Raw genomic sequence first — 18,518 nt, 5'->3', positions numbered from 1 at the left:
CTAAGGGGGCAAAGAGGCCAGTGACCAGGCTCAGCTCAGTCTGCACAGAGGGGCCGTGGCAGAAGGAGGGCTCGGGCAGGCTCTGCCACTCAGGTAGGCACCAGGCGTGAGACCTGTAGCCCCCTCTTCCCCAAGTCCCAGGAGTCTAGGGTCCCAGCTCCTTCTTCTCCCAGGACCTGGTGTCCTACCCCCTAGCCCCTAGCCCCTTCCTTACCCACCACCCAGGAATCCAGGCTCCTGGGCCCCTTCTCACCTAGGACTCAGGAAGCTAGGCCTCCAGCCTATTCCTTGCTCAGAACCTGGAAGTCCAGGCCCCCGGCCTTTTCTTCCCAGAACCCAGCCCCGCTCTCCCTGTTGTCTTTCCAGGATCCCTACCATCCTCCTCCCTCAGACCCAGGAGTCCGGGCTCCAGTCCCCTCCTCGCCCAGGACCCAGGCGTCTAGGTCTCCATCTCCTTCTCCCAAGCACTTGGCATCCCACTCCTGAGCCCTCTCTCCCCCCAGTTCCTCCCTTCAAGTCCCGGGAATTCAGCTCCCAATCCCATCTCTCCCCTTCCCCACAGATCACCATGTACAGCTTCATGGGTGGTGGCCTGTTCTGTGCCTGGGTGGGGACCATCCTCCTGGTGGTGGCCATGGCAACAGACCACTGGATGCAGTACCGGCTGTCAGGGTCCTTCGCCCACCAGGGCCTGTGGCGGTACTGCCTGGGCAACAAGTGCTACCTGCAGACAGACAGCATCGGTGAGCCCCCCGGCCAGGGTCCAGGCCGCGCCTGGGGAAAGAGCAGGGCGGACCTCGGGGCCCAAGGACACCTGTATTCCAGATGGAGAACTCTGCGGCTCAAAGAGGGAAAGGGAGCAACCCAAGGTCACTCAGCATGGAGGGGGCAGAACTGGGACTACAGGGTTGTTTTCTAGCTGCAGTTTCACGGGGTGCTGGTTTGAAGGTTAAGTTGGGAGAGGTGGCATTTCCTGACGCTTCAGAGGTGTCATGCACAGCAATTGGGGCTAGTGTCACGAAACAGCATTTTCTAAATATGTACTATGGACCAAGAACTATGTTAGGTACTGGTGGATACTGAATTTGCTAAATACTGCATAAAGTAGCATAAAGTATTTTTGCCTACTTATAATGTGCCAGGCCATAGATAGAGAGATACATAGAGATATATAGTATATTGCTTGCTGCATAGCATCTATAATATATTAAGTTAATGTATACTATATTATGTGTAATATATGCAATTTATATTATTACATATAATTTATGATGTATTATATATAACTACATATAGACAATAATATACAGTATAGTGTATTATACATGCACCTCTATTATATAATAAATTACTAATACATAATATATTGTATATAATATGCTACATATTATATAAGTAATGCACATGTAATATATTATATATGATGTAGAATCCATTATATTACACATTCATTATCTAATAAATAGTATATGTCATGACATTATATAATAAATTAATAATGTATATATTATACAATATATTATATAATAAATTAATAATGTAGAGTATATTATATTGCACACTTATTATATAACATATTAATAAATTTGGCCAGGCGTGGTGGCTCACGTCTGTAATCCCAGCACTTCGGGAGGCTGAGGTGGGCGGATCACCTGAGGTCAGGAGTTCAAGATTAGCCTGGCAAAAAAGGTGAAACCCGGTCTCTACTAAAAATACAAAAATTAGCCAGGCATGGTGGTGAGCACCTGTAATCCCAGCTACTCAGGAGGCTGAGGCAGGAAAATCGCTTGAACCTGGGAGGCGGAGACTGCAGTGGGCCCAGATGGCACCACTGCACTCCAGCCTGGACAACAGACGAAGACTCTGTCTAAAAAATAAATAAAAATTAATTAATAATATATAATATATTGTGTATTACTACTAGTAACAGTAATAATAATAACTGGCATTGATTGAGTGCTTACTATGCCCTATGTGCTATTCTAAGCACTTTACATGGATAAACTCACTTCCATCCCCAACAACACTACGGGCAGTTCAATTGTATGTAAGAGTGAGACATGAGATTTGATCTCAAAATTCAAACATCCTCTTGAGTAGCTGAGAAGAAGAGCTAAGCGTCACTGAGTGCCGGACGTGACAGGCATGGGAGACTTCGCCCACTCATCTCTCCCGGAGCCAGCCCTGAGAGAGAGGCAGGACGATGCCTGTTTGCTGGAGAGGTAGACTGAGGCAGGGAGAAGTGAAAAGACTTGCCTTGGGCCATCAGCTTCAGAGTCCGCTCTGCCTGACTCCACACATCCTTCTCCTTTCTGGCTGTCTCATTTGTGACACTTCTACATTTCTCCTGCTTCGGGCTGGGAATTCCCCGAGGGACAGCCCTGAGCCACCTCTCTGTCTTATCTCTGCCAGGGATGCAGGAGACAGGGAGCCTTGGTGAAGGTCTTTCGTTTTTTCGTTTGTTTGTTTTTGTTTTGTTTTGTTTTGTTTCAGACAGAGTCTCGCTCTGTCACCCCTGCCAGAGTGCAATGGCACTATCTCGGCTCACTGTAACCTCTGCCTCCTGGGTTCAAGCAATTCTCCTTGCCTCAGCCTCCCGAGTAGCTGGGATTACAGGCGCCCAAAACCATGCCTGGCTAATTTTTGTATTTTAGTAGAGACAGGATTTGACCATGTTGGCCAGGCTGGTCTCGAACTCCTGACCTCAGGTGATCCACCCGCCTCGGCCTCCCAAAGTGCTGGGATTATAGGCATGAGCCACCGAACTTGGCCTCATTATTTCATTTGATTTGATTTTTGTAGAGACAGCATCTCACTGTATTGCCCAGGCTTGTTTCAAACTCCCGGCTTCAGATGGACGTGGTGGCTCAGCCTGGAATCCCAGCACTTCGGGAGGCTGAGGTAGGAGGATCACTTGAGCCTAGGTGTTTGAGACCAGCCTGTGCAACGTAAGGAGACCCCATCTCAACAAAAAATAAAAAATTAGCTGGGCGTGGTGGTGTGCTCCCGTGGCCCCAGCTGCTCAGAAGGCTGAAGTGGGAGGATCACTTGAGCCCAGAAGTTTAAGGCTGCAGTGAGCTAAGATAGAGCCACTGCACTCCAGCCTGGGTGACAGAGCAAGACCCTGTCTCAAAAAATAATAATAAGATAAAATAAATAATCAAAAAGAAACCCTCCTGGCCTCAAGCAATCCTCCTGCCTCGGCCTCCCAAAGTGCTGGGATTCCAGGCCTGAGCCGCTGTGACCAGCCTGAATTAGTGTGCTAGGGATGCCATAAAAAAGCCCCACAGACTGGGTGGCTTGAACAACAGAAACGTGTTGTCTCACAGTTCTGGAGGCCGAGATGAAGATGTGGGCAAAATCAGTTCCTTCTGAGGGCTGTGAGGGAGAATCTGTTCCATGTCCCTCCCTCCCTGGCTTCTGGTGATTTTCTGGGAATCTTTGGTGTTTCTTGGTTTGGAGATGCATCACCCCAATTTCTACCTTCCTCACACATGGCATTTTTCCTAAAAGCATGTCTGTGTCCAGATTCCTCTTTTTATAAGGACGGCAGTCTTTGTTTTATGTTTTGTTTTGTTTTTGAGTTGGAGTCTCGCTCTGCCACCCAGGCTGGAGGGCAGTGGAATGATCTTGGCTCACTGCAACCTCCACCTCCCGGGTTCAAGTGATTCTCCTGCCTCAGCCTCCTGAGTAGCTGGGATTACAGGTGCCCACCACCAAGCCTGGCTAATTTTTGTATTTTTAGTAGAGACAGGGTTTCTCCATTTTGGCTAGGCTGGTCTCAAACTCCTGACCTCAGGTGATCCACCTGCCTTGGCTTCCCAAAGTGCTGGGATTACACTGGGCAGGAGCCACCACACCCAGCCCAGTCTTTGGATTAGAGCCCCACCCTACTCTAGCATGATCTCGTCTTAACTAATTATATTTGCAAAGACTCTATTGCCAAATAAGTTACCATTCTAAGGCACTAGTTACAATTTCAACATAAACATTTGAGGCGGGGGACAGAAAGGCATAACCCATAAAATCCATGGAGAAACAGCCAGGAATTTCTCTCACCGAGGCTTCTACAAGGCAGAAGACTGGGTTTTACAAAGATCCTAGACTTTTTACTTTTCAATGGCAAGATGCAAGGTTTGAGGTGCACCATTTCCCAGGTGCTCCAGCAGACAGAATAGCCAAGCAGTTAGGAGCGTGGGCCTTGGAGCTTGGATTCTGACTCCAGCCCTGTTTCTAATTATGAGACTTCGGGCAAGTCACTTTACCTCTCTGGGCCTCCATTTCTTCACTTGAAAAAGAAGCATAAAAATGGTACTTATAGAGTAGGGCTCTGGAGGAATAAACAACATCACACCTGGGTAGCGAGCCTGGCATATAGTTAGCCGTTGCTAAAGGATGAAGAGATTATTATTATCTTTCCTGAGGGGCCATCCCTGGGCAAAGCACAAGAGAAGAATGGCCCCGGTGCTCAACATTAATTCATTTCACGCATTTATTGGGCACCTATTATGCACCAGGTGTAGGTGCTGGGGACACAGTGGTGAATGAGAAAGCAAGGTGCTTGTCCTTGAGAGCTAAGGATTTACTGAGGAGAGACAGACATTATAAATAAGTTAAAAACAAGTAAATAGGACATTTTCAGATATAAGCAAGTAGTATAAAATAAATGAAAGAGTAGGCTGGGCGCAGTGGCTCACACCTGTAATCTCAGCACTTTGGGAGGCCAAGGCAGGTGGATCACTTGGGGCCAGGAGTTTGAGACCAGCCTGGCCAACATGGCAAAATGCCGTCTCTACTAAAAATACAAAAATTATCCGGGCATGGTGGTGCGCACCTGTAGTCCCAGCTACTCGGGACCCTGAGGAAGGAGAATCGTTTGAACCTCAGAGGTGGAGGCTGCAGTGAGCTGAGATTGTGCCACAGCACTTCAGCCTGGGTGGCAGAGGAAGACTCGGTCTCAAAAAAAAAAAAAAAAAAAAAAAAAGAAAAGAAAAAAAAAGAAATGTGAGAGAGAATAGTAATTAGTAGGAAAATATAAGGAATCAGCATTCATTCATTCATTCATTCAACAAACATTTCCCAAGGCCAGAATGCAAACCAAATGTGTGGTGGGGGTGTTTATGACACAGAACCAACCCACCGCCTGTCTTCAAGGAGCAATCAGGCTGGAGGGGGAGACAGACAAAGAGAGTCACAACCCTTAGCCGTGGGTGAAGATGATGACTGAGGGGTGGGGAGATGCTTCCTAGAGGATGGGTCACGGGAGCTGTGCTTTGGAGGATGAGTAGGAGTTTGCCAGGTGAAGAAGAGGGCATTTGCAAAGAAGGGAAGGATGAGCTGGGTTAGGGATATGGAAAGGGGCAAGGCATTTTCATCTCAGAGGTAGCAGCATCTCTCACTTAGAGCAGGGGAGGTGTGGGAATGACCATGGGGTGCTCCCACAGCATACTGGAATGCCACCCGGGCCTTCATGATCCTGTCTGCCCTATGCGCCATCTCCGGCATCATCATGGGCATCATGGCCTTCGCTCATCAGCCTACCTTCTCCCGCATCTCCCGGCCCTTCTCTGCTGGCATCATGTTTTTTTCCTCAAGTGAGTAAGCCCACCCTCTCCCTACCCCTCTCCTCGCTCTCATCTCAAACCCCAATCTGTCCCCACCCCTCAACACCATTCTCACCCCTTACTCCTCCTCACACTCAACCCCACCCCACCCTAATCCCATCCCCACACTCAAAACCAACCTCATGACTATTTCTAGTTCCAGTCTATTCTGACACTAGCTGGTGTACTACAGTTCAGTTCTGGCATGAATCACCTAAAATTTGTGTTTGACTCCACAGGTTAAGACCACAGTCCCTAGCAAGACTGCTTCCACCTCAGCTACAAGCTGCAAGCAGGGTGCCTGGGCCACCCATGCTTTTGATCCACTGGCTACAAACTAGGAGGTTCCCAAGACCCACTCAGATTCAAAAATTTGCTGGAGGCCGGGTGCGATGGCTCACGCCCGTAATTCCAGCACTTTGGGAGGCCGAGGCAGGTGGATCACTAGGTCAGGAGTTTGAGACTAGCCTGGCCAACATGGCGAAACCCCATCTCTACTAAAAATACAAAACAAAATTAGCCAGGCGTGGTGTCGGGCGCCTGTGGTCCCAGCTACTTGGGAGGCTGAGGCAGGAGAATGGCATGAACTCAGGAGGCGGAGCTTGCAGTGAGCTGGGATTGTGCCACTGCACTCCAGCCTGGGCGACAGAGCGAGACTCTGTCTCAACAAAAACAACAACAACAATAACAACAACAAAAATTGCTGGAATAACTCATAGAATGCAGGAAAGTGCTATACTTACAGTTATAGTTTCCTTATAGAGGACACAACTCAGGTCCAAGCAAATGAAGAGACACAGAGGGCAGAGTCTAGGAGAGCCCAAAATGCAGAGCTTCCAAGCCTTCTTCCTGTGGAGCCAGGGATCACCCTCCCAGCACACAGATGTTTTCACCAATAGGGAGCGCCACTGAGCTTCAGTGTCCAGAGGTTTTATTGGAGTCTTGTAAAATAGGCATGACTGATTGAATCGTTGGTCATTGATGGAATGCAGTTTCCAACTTCCTTTCTTCCCTGATATCAAGTGGTTCAGAGCCTCAACATATCATGGTCGGTCTTTCTTTCTTTCTTTTTTGTTCTCCTTTTTTGAGATGGAGTCTCACTCTGTCACCCAGGCTGGAGTGTAGTGGCTCGATCTCAGCTCACTGCAACCTCCACCTCCCCTCCCGGGTTCAAGTGATTCTCCTGCCTCAGCCTCCTGAGTAGCTGGGATTACAGGCACCCACCACCACACCCAGCTAATTTTTTTTTATTGTATTTTTAGTAGAGACGGGGTTTCACCATGTTGACCAGGCTGATCTTGATCTCCTGACCTCAAGTGATCCACCCTACTCAGCCTCCCAAAGTGTTGGGATGACACGCATGAGTCACTGTGCCTGACCTGGTTGGTTTTTCTGACAACCACACCCAACCCTGAGTCATCTCATCTCATTACCATAAACTCAGGTTGGGCCCAAGAGGCTCAAGAATAACAAAGACCCTCCTATTACTCAGGAAGTTCCAAATATTGTTTCTCCCTCCCAGGAACCAGAGACAATGGCCAATTACATTATAAAACACAAGCGTGTCCAACCCCATCCCAAACCTATCCCCCAATCATCTTTACCCCTAATTTCAACTCAACCCCTATCCTCACTCCTATCCCCACCCCCAACCCATTTCCACCCCTTTCCCCAATCTTAGTTCCCACCCCCATCATCAGCTCTCTGCCCACCTCCAAAATCACACCCAGCCTTAGTCCCACCTGCATCCTCCCGCCCTCTCTCCCCAGCCCTTTTCGTCGTGTTGGCCTTGGCCATCTACACTGGAGTCACCGTCAGCTTCCTGGGCCGCCGCTTTGGGGACTGGCGCTTTTCCTGGTCCTACATCCTGGGCTGGGTGGCAGTGCTCATGACGTTCTTCGCAGGTACTGGGGGCAAGGGGTGGGAAGGTCAGTGCCTGGGGCAGAGTGGGCAGCAGATAGAGTGGAAGATGACAGGGTGTCCCACATGAGTCCCACAGCACTGGGTCAGGAGGAAGACTCCAGGCCTATGGAGTCTGGGGTCGGGGATACCCAGGGAGAAAGAGAGTAGGGTGTTGGGCTCTCTTGGGGTGGAAATGGAGCTGGGGGAGGTTTGAGGGGGTGAATTTGAACTTCTTCTCATGCAGGGATTTTCTACATGTGCGCCTACCGGGTGCATGAATGCCGGCGCCTGTCTACACCCCGCTGAGCCCAAATGTGTCCCCCAACTTCATCTGGAAGTTAAAGTGAGGCCACTGAAGAGGAGGAGGAGGGTCTAGAGGCCTGAAATCCTGGTTCCTAGGGGAATGAGGGGGCTCAGTTCTGGACTGTGGGTTTGTGGGGGGAGGCTGACTCCTGGTCCTAGGCTGGAAGGAGGAAGAATAGGGCCCATGGGAGGGAGCTGAGAAGACTCAAGTCCCCGTCTGCCTGGCAGGTTGTTAGAAAAATGGACTATCCATTAGAGCAACTTTCTGGGGCCTAATAAAACTGATGTGAAACTACTAAAGTGTTAATACTTGAGGGACTAGGATGGGGAGAAACAGCTGTAAGGGTGGTGGGTGTGGGCAGGGGTGCTTTTTTGTGTGTTTTTCTTGTGGTTGTTGTCTTCATTGTTTTGAGACGGAGTTTCGCCTTTGTTGCCCAGGCTGGGGTGCAATGGTGCGATCTCAGCTCACCGCAACCTCTGCCTCCTGGGTTCAAGTGATTTTCCTGCCTCAGCTTCCCAAGTAGCTGGGATTACAGGGGCCCACTACCACTCCTGGTTACTTTTTGTATTTTTAGTAGAGATGGGGTTTCACCATGTTGGCCAGGCTGGTCTCGAATTCCTGACTTCAGATGATCCACCCACCTCTGCCTCCCAAAGTGCTGGGATTACAGGCGTGAGCCACTGCACCCGGCCCAGGGGTGCTGTATTATGGAGGCCTGACCTTCTCAGTTTCTGCACGGAGGGGAACAGAGATGAATCAACAGTCCGTGTCCAGGAGCTCACCACAGTTCAACTTCCAGGATATGGATGTGTAGGATAATCGGACAAATGAAAAGATCTCTGAAAAAACTCCCTGCCCACCCCGCCTCCAGTTGGCTCTCCCCAGCCTCCTCTCTCCTCCCCTGATGCGTCCCTTCAAAGGAAACACCAGAACCCTGAGCCTTACCTCCGGCACCTGCTCTTCACACACCATTCATGACCGTGATCTTCTCTTCATTCACTCATTAGTAATTCATTCTATTAATTGATGCTGGCTGGGTGTGGTGTCTCACACCGGTAATCCCAGCACTTTGGAAAACCAAGGCAGGTGGATTGCTCAAGCCCAGGAGTCCCCCAGGCAACATGAGAAAACCCCATCTCTACAAAAAAAAAAAAAAAAAAAAAAATTAGCTGGGCATGTTGGTGTGTGCCTGTCCCAGCTACTCAGGAGGCTGAGGTGGGAGGGTCGCTGGAGTCCGAGGAGACGGAGGTTGCAGTGAGCTGTGATAGCACCACTGCACTCCAGCCTGAGCGAGAGTAAGACTATGTCTCAAAATAAAAAAGAAAAAGAAAAAGAAAATAAATGGTTGCTAACTGCCATGAGATTTACTGATGTCTATCATAAGACTATTTCATAAGGCTGATTCTAATCAGACTATTTACTACAGCTATGCTAATAAATGTTATGTTTATAGAGGCTTATTCCCTAAAATAATATTTACTGGGGCCTCCTCAAATAAAAATACTGTATTTATAGAGGTTTTCTCTAATAATAATGACAATTGAAGATTTCTCTAATAATTTATTGAGGCCTATTTAAATAGAAATATTTGCCGAGACTTATTCTAGTAATCATATTTATAGGGGCTTACTCTAGCAATAATAATGATATAATTATGACTCCAGACTCAGGACTCCAACTTACCTGCTCAACTTACTTACTCAACATTCCCACTTGAAAAGAAGAGGCATCTCCAATCTCACATATCCAAAAATAAGTTCCTGATCTCACACACAGCCTATGTGTTCCTCCCATGGTCTTCCCCATCTTAGGAAATGGCAACCCCATTTTTTATTTTACTTATTTGTTTTTTTGAGATGGAGTCTCGCCCTGTTGCCCAGGCTGGAGTGCAGTGGTGCAATCTCGGCTCACTGCAACCTCCGCCTCCCCTCCTGGGTTCAAGTGATTCTCCTGCCTCAGCCTCCCAAGTAGCTGGGATTACAGGCGTCTGCCACCACGCCCAGCTAATTTTTGTATTTTTAGTGGAGACGGGGTTTCACCATGTTGGCCAGGCTAGTCTCAAACTCCTGACCTCGTGATCCGCCCGCCTCGGCCTCCCAAAGTGCTGGGATTACAGGTGTGAGCCACCACGCCCGGCCAAACAACCCCATTTTTATCCAGCTACTCAAGCCAACAACTTTGGGATTCAATGTTGGCTTTTTTTTTTTTTTTTTTTTTTTGAGACAGGGTCTCACTCTTGCCCAGGCTACAATGCAGTGGCGTGATCACAGCTCACTGCAGCCTCCACCTCCCAGGCTCAACTGAGCCTCCCACCTCAGCCTCCTGAGCAGCTAAGACTACAGGCATGCACCACCCACTATGCCTGGGTAATTTTTTAATTTTTTGTAGAGATGGGGTCTCCTTATGTTGCCTAGACTGGTCTCTGTCTACTGGTCTCAAGTGATCCTCCCACCTTGGCCTCCCGAAGTGCTGGGATCACATGCGTGAGCCACCCCAGCTGGCCTGTGTCTGCTTTTGGTTTCCTGTAAATCCTCAAAGACAGCACCTGGCACATGGTAATCACTCAAAAGAACATTTGTTGAACAATAAATCTTTATTCAGGCCAACTGACTTACATAAAGTAAGTGCTGTTTATTGACTTACATAAAGTATTATTTATTGAAATGTACTCTAATGATACTGAGATTTAATATCTTTTTATCATTATAATAGCCATTAAATATTATGACTAGAGTGCACCTCAATAGAAATGATGATGCCTTCCATAATAACTGTTTACCATTAGCATTCATTTCTTTAATAGAACGTAGGTTAATTGAGGATTAGTCTTTTTAAATTTTATTTTATTTTATTTTTTTTGAGATGGAGTCTCACTCTGTCACCCAGGCTGGAGTACGGTGGTGCGATCTTGGCTCACTGCAACTTCTGACTCCCGGGTTCAAGCGATTCTCCTGCCTCAGCCTCCCGAGTAGCTGGAATTACAGGTGCACGCCACCACTCCCAGCTAATTTTTTGGGGTCTTCCGTGGCAGATGGGGGCTACTGAGGAGCTTTCAAGCCCGGGAGAGGTTGGAAGGGGCTGGAGAAAGTTGGAAGAGACCTGGGTGATTCAAAAAAACTGACAGTGCTTAGACAAGACTGACAGAGACCTAAGAGAACCAAGTGGCCAAGCAGGCGACGTGAGCTGTGAACCCCGAAAATCTGAGACAGGTCTCAGTTAATTTAGAAAGTTTATTTTGCCATGTAGTCACAGCTACTCAGGAGGCTGAGGCAGGAGAATGGCGTGAACCCGGGAGGCGGAGCTTGCAGTGAGCCGAGATCGTGCCACTGCACTCCAGCCTGGGCAACAGAGCGAGATTCCATCTCAAAAAAAAGAACAATAGAAAGTTTATTTTGCCAAAGTTGAGGACATGCGCCCGTGACACAGCCTCAGGATGTCCTGACGACATGTGCCCAAGGTGGTCGGGGCACAGCTTGGTTCTATACATTTTAGGGAGACATGACATATCAATCAATAGATGTAAGAAGTACATTGGTGCATCCAGGAAGGTGGGGACAACTCAAAGCAGGGAGGGGGATTCCACGTTACAGGTAGGTGAGAGACAAATTGTTGCATTCTTTGAGTTTCTTTTTTCCTAGATGGAGTCTAACTCTGTTGCCCAGGCTAGAGTGCAGTGGCACAATCTCGGCTTACTGCAACCTCCACCTCCTGGGTTCAAGTGATTCTCCTACCTCAGTCTCCTGAGTCTGAGACTACAGGCGTGCACCACCATGCCCGGCTAATTTTTGTATTTTTAGTAGAGATGGGGTTTCACCATGTTGGCCAGGCTGGTTTTGAACTCATAACCTCAGGTGATCCACCTGCTTAGGCCTCCTAAAGTGCTGGGATTACAGGCATGGCCTCTTTTGAGTTTCTGATAAGCCTTTCCAAAGGAGGCAATCAGATATGCATCGATCTCAGTGAGCAGAGGGATGACTTTGAATAGAATGAGAGGCAGGTTTGCCCTGAGCTGTTCCCAGCCTGACTTTCCCCTTTAGCTCAGTAATTTTGGGGCCCCAAGATTTTCCTTTCACAGAGCTCTCAGGAAAAGCTTCAGAAGGAGGCCTGGGGTTTTCCTCTGGCAACCACAGACCACATCTGGTTGAGAAAGCTGCTGGAGATCCTGCGAGCAATTCTGTCTTCAAGGCCCCAGCTGCCTTGCCTTTGTGCTCTTAAGAGATGGTCTTGGCTGGCTGGGTGCGGTCACTCACGCCTGTAATTCCAGCACTTTGGGAGGCTGAAGCAGGTGGATCACCTGAGGTCAGGAGTTCGAGACCAGCCTGACCAACGTGGAGAAACCCCGTCTCTACTAAAAATAGAAAGTCAGCCGGGCATGGTGGCGCATGCCTGTAATCCTAGTTACTTAGGAGGCTGAGGCAGGAGGATCTCTTGAACCTGGGAGGCAGAGGTTGCTGTGAGCCCCGATCATGCCATTGCACTCCAGCCTGAGCAACAAAAGTGAAACTGCGTCTCAAAAAAAAAAAAAAAAAAAAAAAAAAAAGATGACCTTCACTCACCCGCTCTTACTGGCTTGTGGTGTCTGTCAGAGGGCCTGGGCCTGTGATCAGCCTGTGATACCTACATGTGCAGAGACTCACTGGAGCCAGGTACAGGTCACCTCTGTGTATGCATGCATGCATGGGTGTGATGGTGGTGGTAGTGGGACCCACTTGGGGAGATGAGAAATGAGGTTACAGGCTTGGACCTGGAGGTGAAAGGAGAATGAAAATGGTCGGAGTTAGGTATGAATTATAGAGGTTGCAGAGAAGAATGAAAAGACAGTGGCTGGGCGCAGTGGCTCACTCCTGTAATCTCAGCACTGTGGGAGGCTGAGGCAGGTGGATCACCTGAGGTCAGGAGTTCAAGACCAGCCTGGCCAACATGGCAAAACCCCATTTCTACTAAAAATACAAAAAAAAAAAAAAAATTAGCCTGGTGTGGTGGCGTACAACCATAACCCCAGCTACTCAGGAGGCTGAGGCACAGGAATCACTTAAACCCAGGAGGCGGAGGTTGCAGTGAGCCAAGATCATGCCACTGTACTCCAGCCTGGGTGACAGAGTGAGACTCCATCTCAAAAAAAAAAAAAGGGTTGGGATGGGAATGAGAATAGGGTCAAGTTTCAGGAAGAGGATGGGGTTGGGTTTGGAGTAGGGGCTGGGGTTAATAATGGAGAGGGGTTTGGTTTGGAGATAGGGTGGGGTTTCAGAATGAGAATGGAGTTAGATTTGAGGGTGGGAAGGGTATAAGGGTTGGAACTGGGAATAAGGATGATGTTGAGTTTGGGAATTAGAATGACGTTAGGTTTGGGGATGGGGGCGAATCGGGGGATGGGGTTGAGTGTGTAGTTGGGACTGAGAATGGAGTTCTATTTGAGGATGGGGGTTGGAGCTAGGGTGGAGATTACGAATAGGGATGGGATTGGGTATGGAGTTGTGTTCAGGAATGGGAATAGGGTTAACTTTGGGGATAGGGATGGGTTGAATTTGTGGTTGGAACTGGGCTTGATACTGAGTTTGGGGATGGAGTTGGGTTTGGGGTTAAGGATGGCTTTGGGTTTGGGAGGGGGTCAGGGTCACAGATAGATAGGCTGTGTGCTCTGACCTGCTACTCACTGCACACCATGGCAGGTTTTCCGGAGACCTGGCCTGCTCATGGCCTCTGCCACCTCTGGGAGCCTGTGCTCATAAATGTGTTCTCAGAGTGGTGCAGATCTGAGTGAAGGATGGGGGCTGCCGATCTGAGTCTCTCCAATAAAGGAGAGGAACCAGTCTTCCAGGTCATTTCCCATTCTCCACATTTGCCAGCTGTCCTGGGACTGCTGGACCAGTTCATCTCCAAGACAGAGGTCCTCTTCCAGACTACTCCCTATGTATTAGTCTATTCTCACACTGCTATAAATAACTGCCTGGCCGGGCGTGGTGGCTCACACCTGTAATCCCAACACTTTGGGAGGCCAAGGTGGGCAGATCACCTGAGGTCAGGAGTTAAAGACCAGCCTGTCCAACATGGTGAAAACCCGAAAATCTACTAAACCTGAAATCTACTAAAAATACAAAAATTAGCTGGGTGTGGTGGCGGGCACCTGTAATCCCAGCTACTTGGGAGGCTGAAGCAGGAGAACTGCTTGAACCTGGGAGGTGGAGATTGCAGTGAGCCGAGATTTTGCCACTGCCCTCCAGCCTGAGTGACAAGAGTGAGACTCTGTCTCAAACAACAACAACAACAACAACAAATGCCTGAGACTGGGTAATTTATAAAGGAAAGAGGTTTATTTGATTCACAGTTCAGCATGGCTGGGGAGGCCTCAGGAAACTTACAATCATGGTGGAAGGTGAAGGGGAAGCAAGCCACTGTCTTCACAGAGTGGCAGGAAGAAGGCCAAGCGAAGGCAGGAAGAGCCCCTTAAAAAAACACCATATCTTGTGAAAACTCACTCACTATCACAAGAACAGCATGGGGGAAGCCGGCCCCATGATTCAATTACCTCCACCTGGTCTCTACCTAGACACGTGAGGATTATGGGGACACAATTCAAGGTGCGATTTGGGTAGGGACACAAACCCTAACCATATCACCGTTTCACAGAGGTCAAGTTTTCCTGGGCCTTCTACCTGGGCTGTGGTACCGTCACCTTATACCTGCTCGTAGATGAGGTGTTGCCAGGACCTGATGGTGTGGATGGAAGAGGCTAGCGTTTGGGGGGCTGGAGAACCCTAAACCAAAATCCTTATGTCCCCCAACACCCCCTAGGCCCCCCGATCCTGGTGATAAAGGCCACCAGGCTGGAGCCCCCACCCAAGCAGGGATGCCACTGAACTCATTAATCAGATGAGGATGTGGGTATGTCTGACTCTCTGCAAACCTTTCAGAATTGTGATTCTCTGCTGTTTGCCTGCCCTTGGCATATGCTCCAAACTGGGGCCCAGGATTCTGAGCTCCTGCCCGCCTCTTCCTCCCTCAGGACCTGGAGTTCAGGCCCCCAGCTCCTTCCTCCTTAAGCCCCAGGAGTTCTAACTCCCAAGTCCCCTCCTTCAGTAGAGACCCTAGACTTGGGGACTTCCTCTCCCAGAATGGAAGACTGCATAACCCACAGGAAAGCATGACACATCCCCAGCTGTCCCCTCCAGCCACATCTGCCCTCCCCCTTAATGTACACCCTAGCCTGATTGGCTTCCTCCCACCTCAGGGCCCCCAAGCCTCTCTCTCTCACCTCTTCCAGGAAGCCCCGACTTGGTGTTGAAGGTTCCATGGGTGGGAGTTGTAGAATCTGTGACAGAGGCAAGTACTAAACCACCGCCCAAACCACTGATGATCTGACACCCTCAGTGCCCTCCCCCATCACACACTAAGCGGGGAACTGGACCCCAGGGAGGGGAGGGAGGACGTTGCCTGTGCAATCCAGGAAGGGAGGGTATGTGAAAAGCTACCGGGAACTGTGTGAAACCAAACCAGCCTCATGTGACAAAGCGCAGGACCCCTCACTGCCCCAACTGCTTGCTGTTCTCTCTTTCTTGGGCTCTAAGGACCCAGGAGTCTGGGTGCACAGCCTCCTTCTCTCTGAGATTCAAGAGTCTGATCAGCAGCCTCTTCCTCCTCCAGGACCCAGAAGCCCTGAGCTTATCCCCATGGAGCTCTGCCGGTCCCTGGCCCTGCTGGGGGGCTCCCTGGGCCTGATGTTCTGCCTGATTGCTTTGAGCACCGATTTCTGGTTTGAGGCTGTGGGTCCCACCCACTCAGCTCACTCGGGCCTCTGGCCAACAGGGCATGGGGACATCATATCAGGTAAGGGGAATGGGTGTCCTACAGAGGGGTTGCCAGCGGGGATGGGTGCTCAGTGGTCTTCTCCCGATCAGGCTACATCCACGTGACGCAGACCTTCAGCATTATGGCTGTTCTGTGGGCCCTGGTGTCCGTGAGCTTCCTGGTCCTGTCCTGCTTCCCCTCACTGTTCCCCCCAGGCCACGGCCCGCTTGTCTCAACCACCGCAGCCTTTGCTGCAGGTAAGGACTCTGGACTGGACTGGGGCATCGCGAGCCAGCGAATTCCTGCCGAGGAGCTGAGCCATCTCTCTTGTCCTTGTCCCCAGCCATCTCCATGGTGGTGGCCATGGCGGTGTACACCAGCGAGCGGTGGGACCAGCCTCCACACCCCCAGATCCAGACCTTCTTCTCCTGGTCCTTCTACCTGGGCTGGGTCTCAGCTATCCTCTTGCTCTGTACAGGTGACTATCCTGCCCACTGCCCTGGGGAGCTTTGGGAGGGTCCAGTTGGGGTCCCTGAGGACAGAGGGCAGGGGCAAGTGCTTAAACTCTTTCTGGCTCCCCAGGTGCCCTGAGCCTGGGTGCTCACTGTGGCGGTCCCCGTCCTGGCTATGAAACCTTGTGAGCAGAAGGCAAGAGCGGCAAGATGAGTTTTGAGCGTTGTATTCCAAAGGCCTCATCTGGAGCCTCGGGAAAGTCTGGTCCCACATCTGCCCGCCCTTCCAGCCCTTCCCCAGCCCCTCCTCTTGTTTCTTCATTCATTCAACAAAATTTGGCTGGAATCTGGTTATTTTGAGATTAATTCTGCCAAGACATAAGCCAACTGTCTGCCAGCTCCATGGTAGGAGCTGGGCACCAAGGGAAGGTGAGGGCCCACCAGGCCGACCAGCCTGCAGGGCGCTCCTGCCCAGTACGAGTGCCCGGCCCGTGTGGACACAGGCTCCAACCCGTGTCTATGTCTCCCCTTCTCCAGCACTTTTCTTCCTCCCTGTGTCTTTCTCCCTTTAGCTGGCTCTCTTTCCTTCTCTCTCCCTCTCTGATTTTGTCCCCCTTGCCAGAACTCAGCCCTTCCTTGCACTCAGTCAGTTCTCTTTGCACATTTCCCCATGCTGGGGACACTGGCACGGGTCAGACCCAGGCCCTGCCCAGCAGGGGCTCAGTCTGTGGGGTGGTGGGGAGGAGGCACTTACAGACCAGAAGCAGTTAATACAGGCCAGACAGCAGTCCCAGTGCAGGGAGAATGCCGGAAAAAGACTGACCATATTGTGGAGGGATGGAGACGACTTTTCTGGAGAGAGAACATTTAGGAGCTTCTTAAGGGCCAGGGAAAGGTAATATCCAGGCAGAGGGGCCCAAAGATGAACGTGCAGAAAAGTCAGGAGTCTTGTGGGGATGAAGATCGGTAATTTAGGGTCAGGATATAGAATGTGGGGGGCGGGGGATGGAAAATGAAGAGGGAGAGGCAGGTGGGGGCTGTGGCCTCTAATGTCATGCTGGACTTTCTCTTGAACATGATGGGGAGTTGGGAGAAAAATTGTGGGCAGGGGAGGGACAGTGTCAGCTCTGGGTGCCAGAAAGACCCCCCTGTAGACATGGAGGGGAGGCCAGAAGGTGAGGGAGGAACTTGGCAATGCAATAGGTGGGACATGATGAGGCCTGACCTGGGACCAGGAAAGGAGGGAATGAGCCAGACAGATTCAGGGGCAGGAGGAGCAGGACTTAGGGACCCAAGGCTTTTCAGGGTGAAGGGCAAGAAGAAGGTGAGGACAGTGCCCAAGGGTCTGGCTCGATGAACTGGATGGGATGGCAGGGCCATCCCTAATATGGTGGAAGACACTAAGCTCAGTTGGAATATGGTTGACTATTAAGGCCCTGAGGGGCAGCCAGGAGCAGGTGAGAACTTGAGTCAGGCTCAGGGGAGAGACCTTGGGTTGGAGATGGAGTTTTGGATGGAGCATTAAGGAGCACTGAAACTTTGGCCGTGAGGAGGCTTGCCTGGCAAGAGAGTGCAGGGTGGAGCTTCAAGGGATACCCAGATTTACAAGTGAAGGGGAGAAGGCAGAGGAGCAGAAGTCTGCAGTCAGACAGCTGGGGACCTGGAGAGCTTCTGCGGTGCCTAGAATGTCAAGGGAAGAGAAGGTTGTTTTTTTTTTTTGAGACGGAGTCTTGTTCTATCACCCAGGCTGGAGTGCAGTGGTGTGATCTTGGCTCACTGCAACCTCTGCCTCCCGGGTTCAAGCAATTCTCCTCCCTCAGCCTCTTGAGTAGCTGGGATTACAGGCGTGCGCCACCATACCTGGCTAATTTTGTCTTTTTTTTTTTTTTTTTGAGATGGAGTCTTGCTCTGTCGCCCAGGCTAGAATGCAATGGCGCGATCTCAGCTAACTGCAACCTCCACCTCCCGGGTTCAAGTGATTCTCCTGCCTCGCATCCCCAGTAGCTGGGATTATAGGCACCTGCCATCACCCCCGGCTAGCCTGGCTAATTTTTGTATTTTTAGTAGAGACGGGGTTTTGCCATGTTGGTCAGGCTTGTCTCAAACCCCTGACTTCAGGTGATCTGCCCGCCTCGGCCTCCTAAAGTGCTGGGATTACAGGCGTGAGCCACTGCGCACCCGGCCAAGGGAAAGAGAAGTTTCTAAGAAAGGGCTGGGAGTGGTGGCTCACATCCATAATGTCAGCATTTTGGGAGGCCAAGGTAGGAGGATCGCTTGAGCCCAAGAGTTTGAGATCAGATTGGGCAACATAGCAAGACCCCATCTCTACAAAAAATCTTAAGAAAATTAGCCAGGTGTGGTGGCACATGCCTGTAGTCCCAGCTACTCAGGAGGCCGAGGCAGGAGGTTTCCTTGAGCCCAGGAGTTCAAGGCTGCAGTGAGCTGTGATGGTGCCACTGCACTCCAGCCTGG

The 18,518-nt window shown here is 50.3% G+C and overlaps 2 protein-coding genes and 2 long non-coding RNA genes across 8 annotated transcripts, besides 1 other annotated feature; 2 read left to right on the top strand and 2 right to left on the bottom strand.

Moving 5' to 3' along the window:
* On the top strand, positions 38–8,103 carry LIM2 (lens intrinsic membrane protein 2). Of its 2 annotated transcripts, none has more exons than NM_001161748.2 (5): positions 38–93; positions 563–743; positions 5,445–5,594; positions 7,373–7,507; positions 7,750–8,103. In NM_001161748.2, the coding sequence occupies exons 2-5, from the start codon at positions 569–571 to the stop codon at positions 7,809–7,811; spliced, it is 522 nt and encodes a 173-aa protein (NP_001155220.1). In that variant the 5' UTR covers positions 38–93; positions 563–568; the 3' UTR covers positions 7,812–8,103. The 2 variants fall into 2 exon arrangements, with proteins under 2 accessions (NP_001155220.1, NP_085915.2); NM_030657.4 differs by having other exon boundaries at positions 563–869.
* LIM2-AS1 (LIM2 and SIGLEC10 antisense RNA 1) lies at positions 641–904 on the bottom strand. The gene is made up of 2 exons (XR_002958397.2): positions 815–904; positions 641–724 (listed from the first exon to the last, which is right to left on the bottom strand). It is a non-coding gene; the product is annotated as an LIM2 and SIGLEC10 antisense RNA 1 (long non-coding RNA).
* Positions 11,228–11,485: a silencer, noted in NCBI's record as "fragment chr19:51879781-51880038 (GRCh37/hg19 assembly coordinates)". NCBI's record gives its function as "represses an EF-1alpha promoter that drives an FKBP-Casp9 reporter gene in an ReSE screen in HepG2 liver carcinoma cells {active_cell/tissue: HepG2}" and the evidence as "EXISTENCE:reporter gene assay evidence [ECO:0000049][PMID:32094911]".
* Positions 14,099–16,072, bottom strand: LOC124904752 (uncharacterized). Its single transcript, XR_007067312.1, has 2 exons — positions 15,062–16,072; positions 14,099–14,252 (listed from the first exon to the last, which is right to left on the bottom strand). It is a non-coding gene; the product is annotated as an uncharacterized LOC124904752 (long non-coding RNA).
* NKG7 (natural killer cell granule protein 7) lies at positions 15,358–16,392 on the top strand. 4 transcript variants are annotated; one of them, XM_005258955.4, is made up of 4 exons: positions 15,358–15,633; positions 15,810–15,851; positions 15,938–16,072; positions 16,177–16,392. In XM_005258955.4, exons 1-4 carry the CDS (start codon positions 15,477–15,479, stop codon positions 16,233–16,235), a joined length of 393 nt encoding a protein of 130 aa, XP_005259012.1. In that variant the 5' UTR covers positions 15,358–15,476; the 3' UTR covers positions 16,236–16,392. The 4 variants fall into 4 exon arrangements, with proteins under 4 accessions (XP_005259012.1, NP_005592.1, XP_006723291.1 ...); NM_005601.4 differs by having other exon boundaries at positions 15,705–15,851; XM_006723228.4 differs by lacking the exon at positions 15,810–15,851.

The sequence above is a fragment of the Homo sapiens genome, chromosome 19, assembly GCF_000001405.40.
Source record: "Homo sapiens chromosome 19, GRCh38.p14 Primary Assembly".
Lineage (NCBI taxonomy): Eukaryota > Metazoa > Chordata > Mammalia > Primates > Hominidae > Homo > Homo sapiens.
This window is presented reverse-complemented; position numbering and strand designations above follow the sequence as displayed.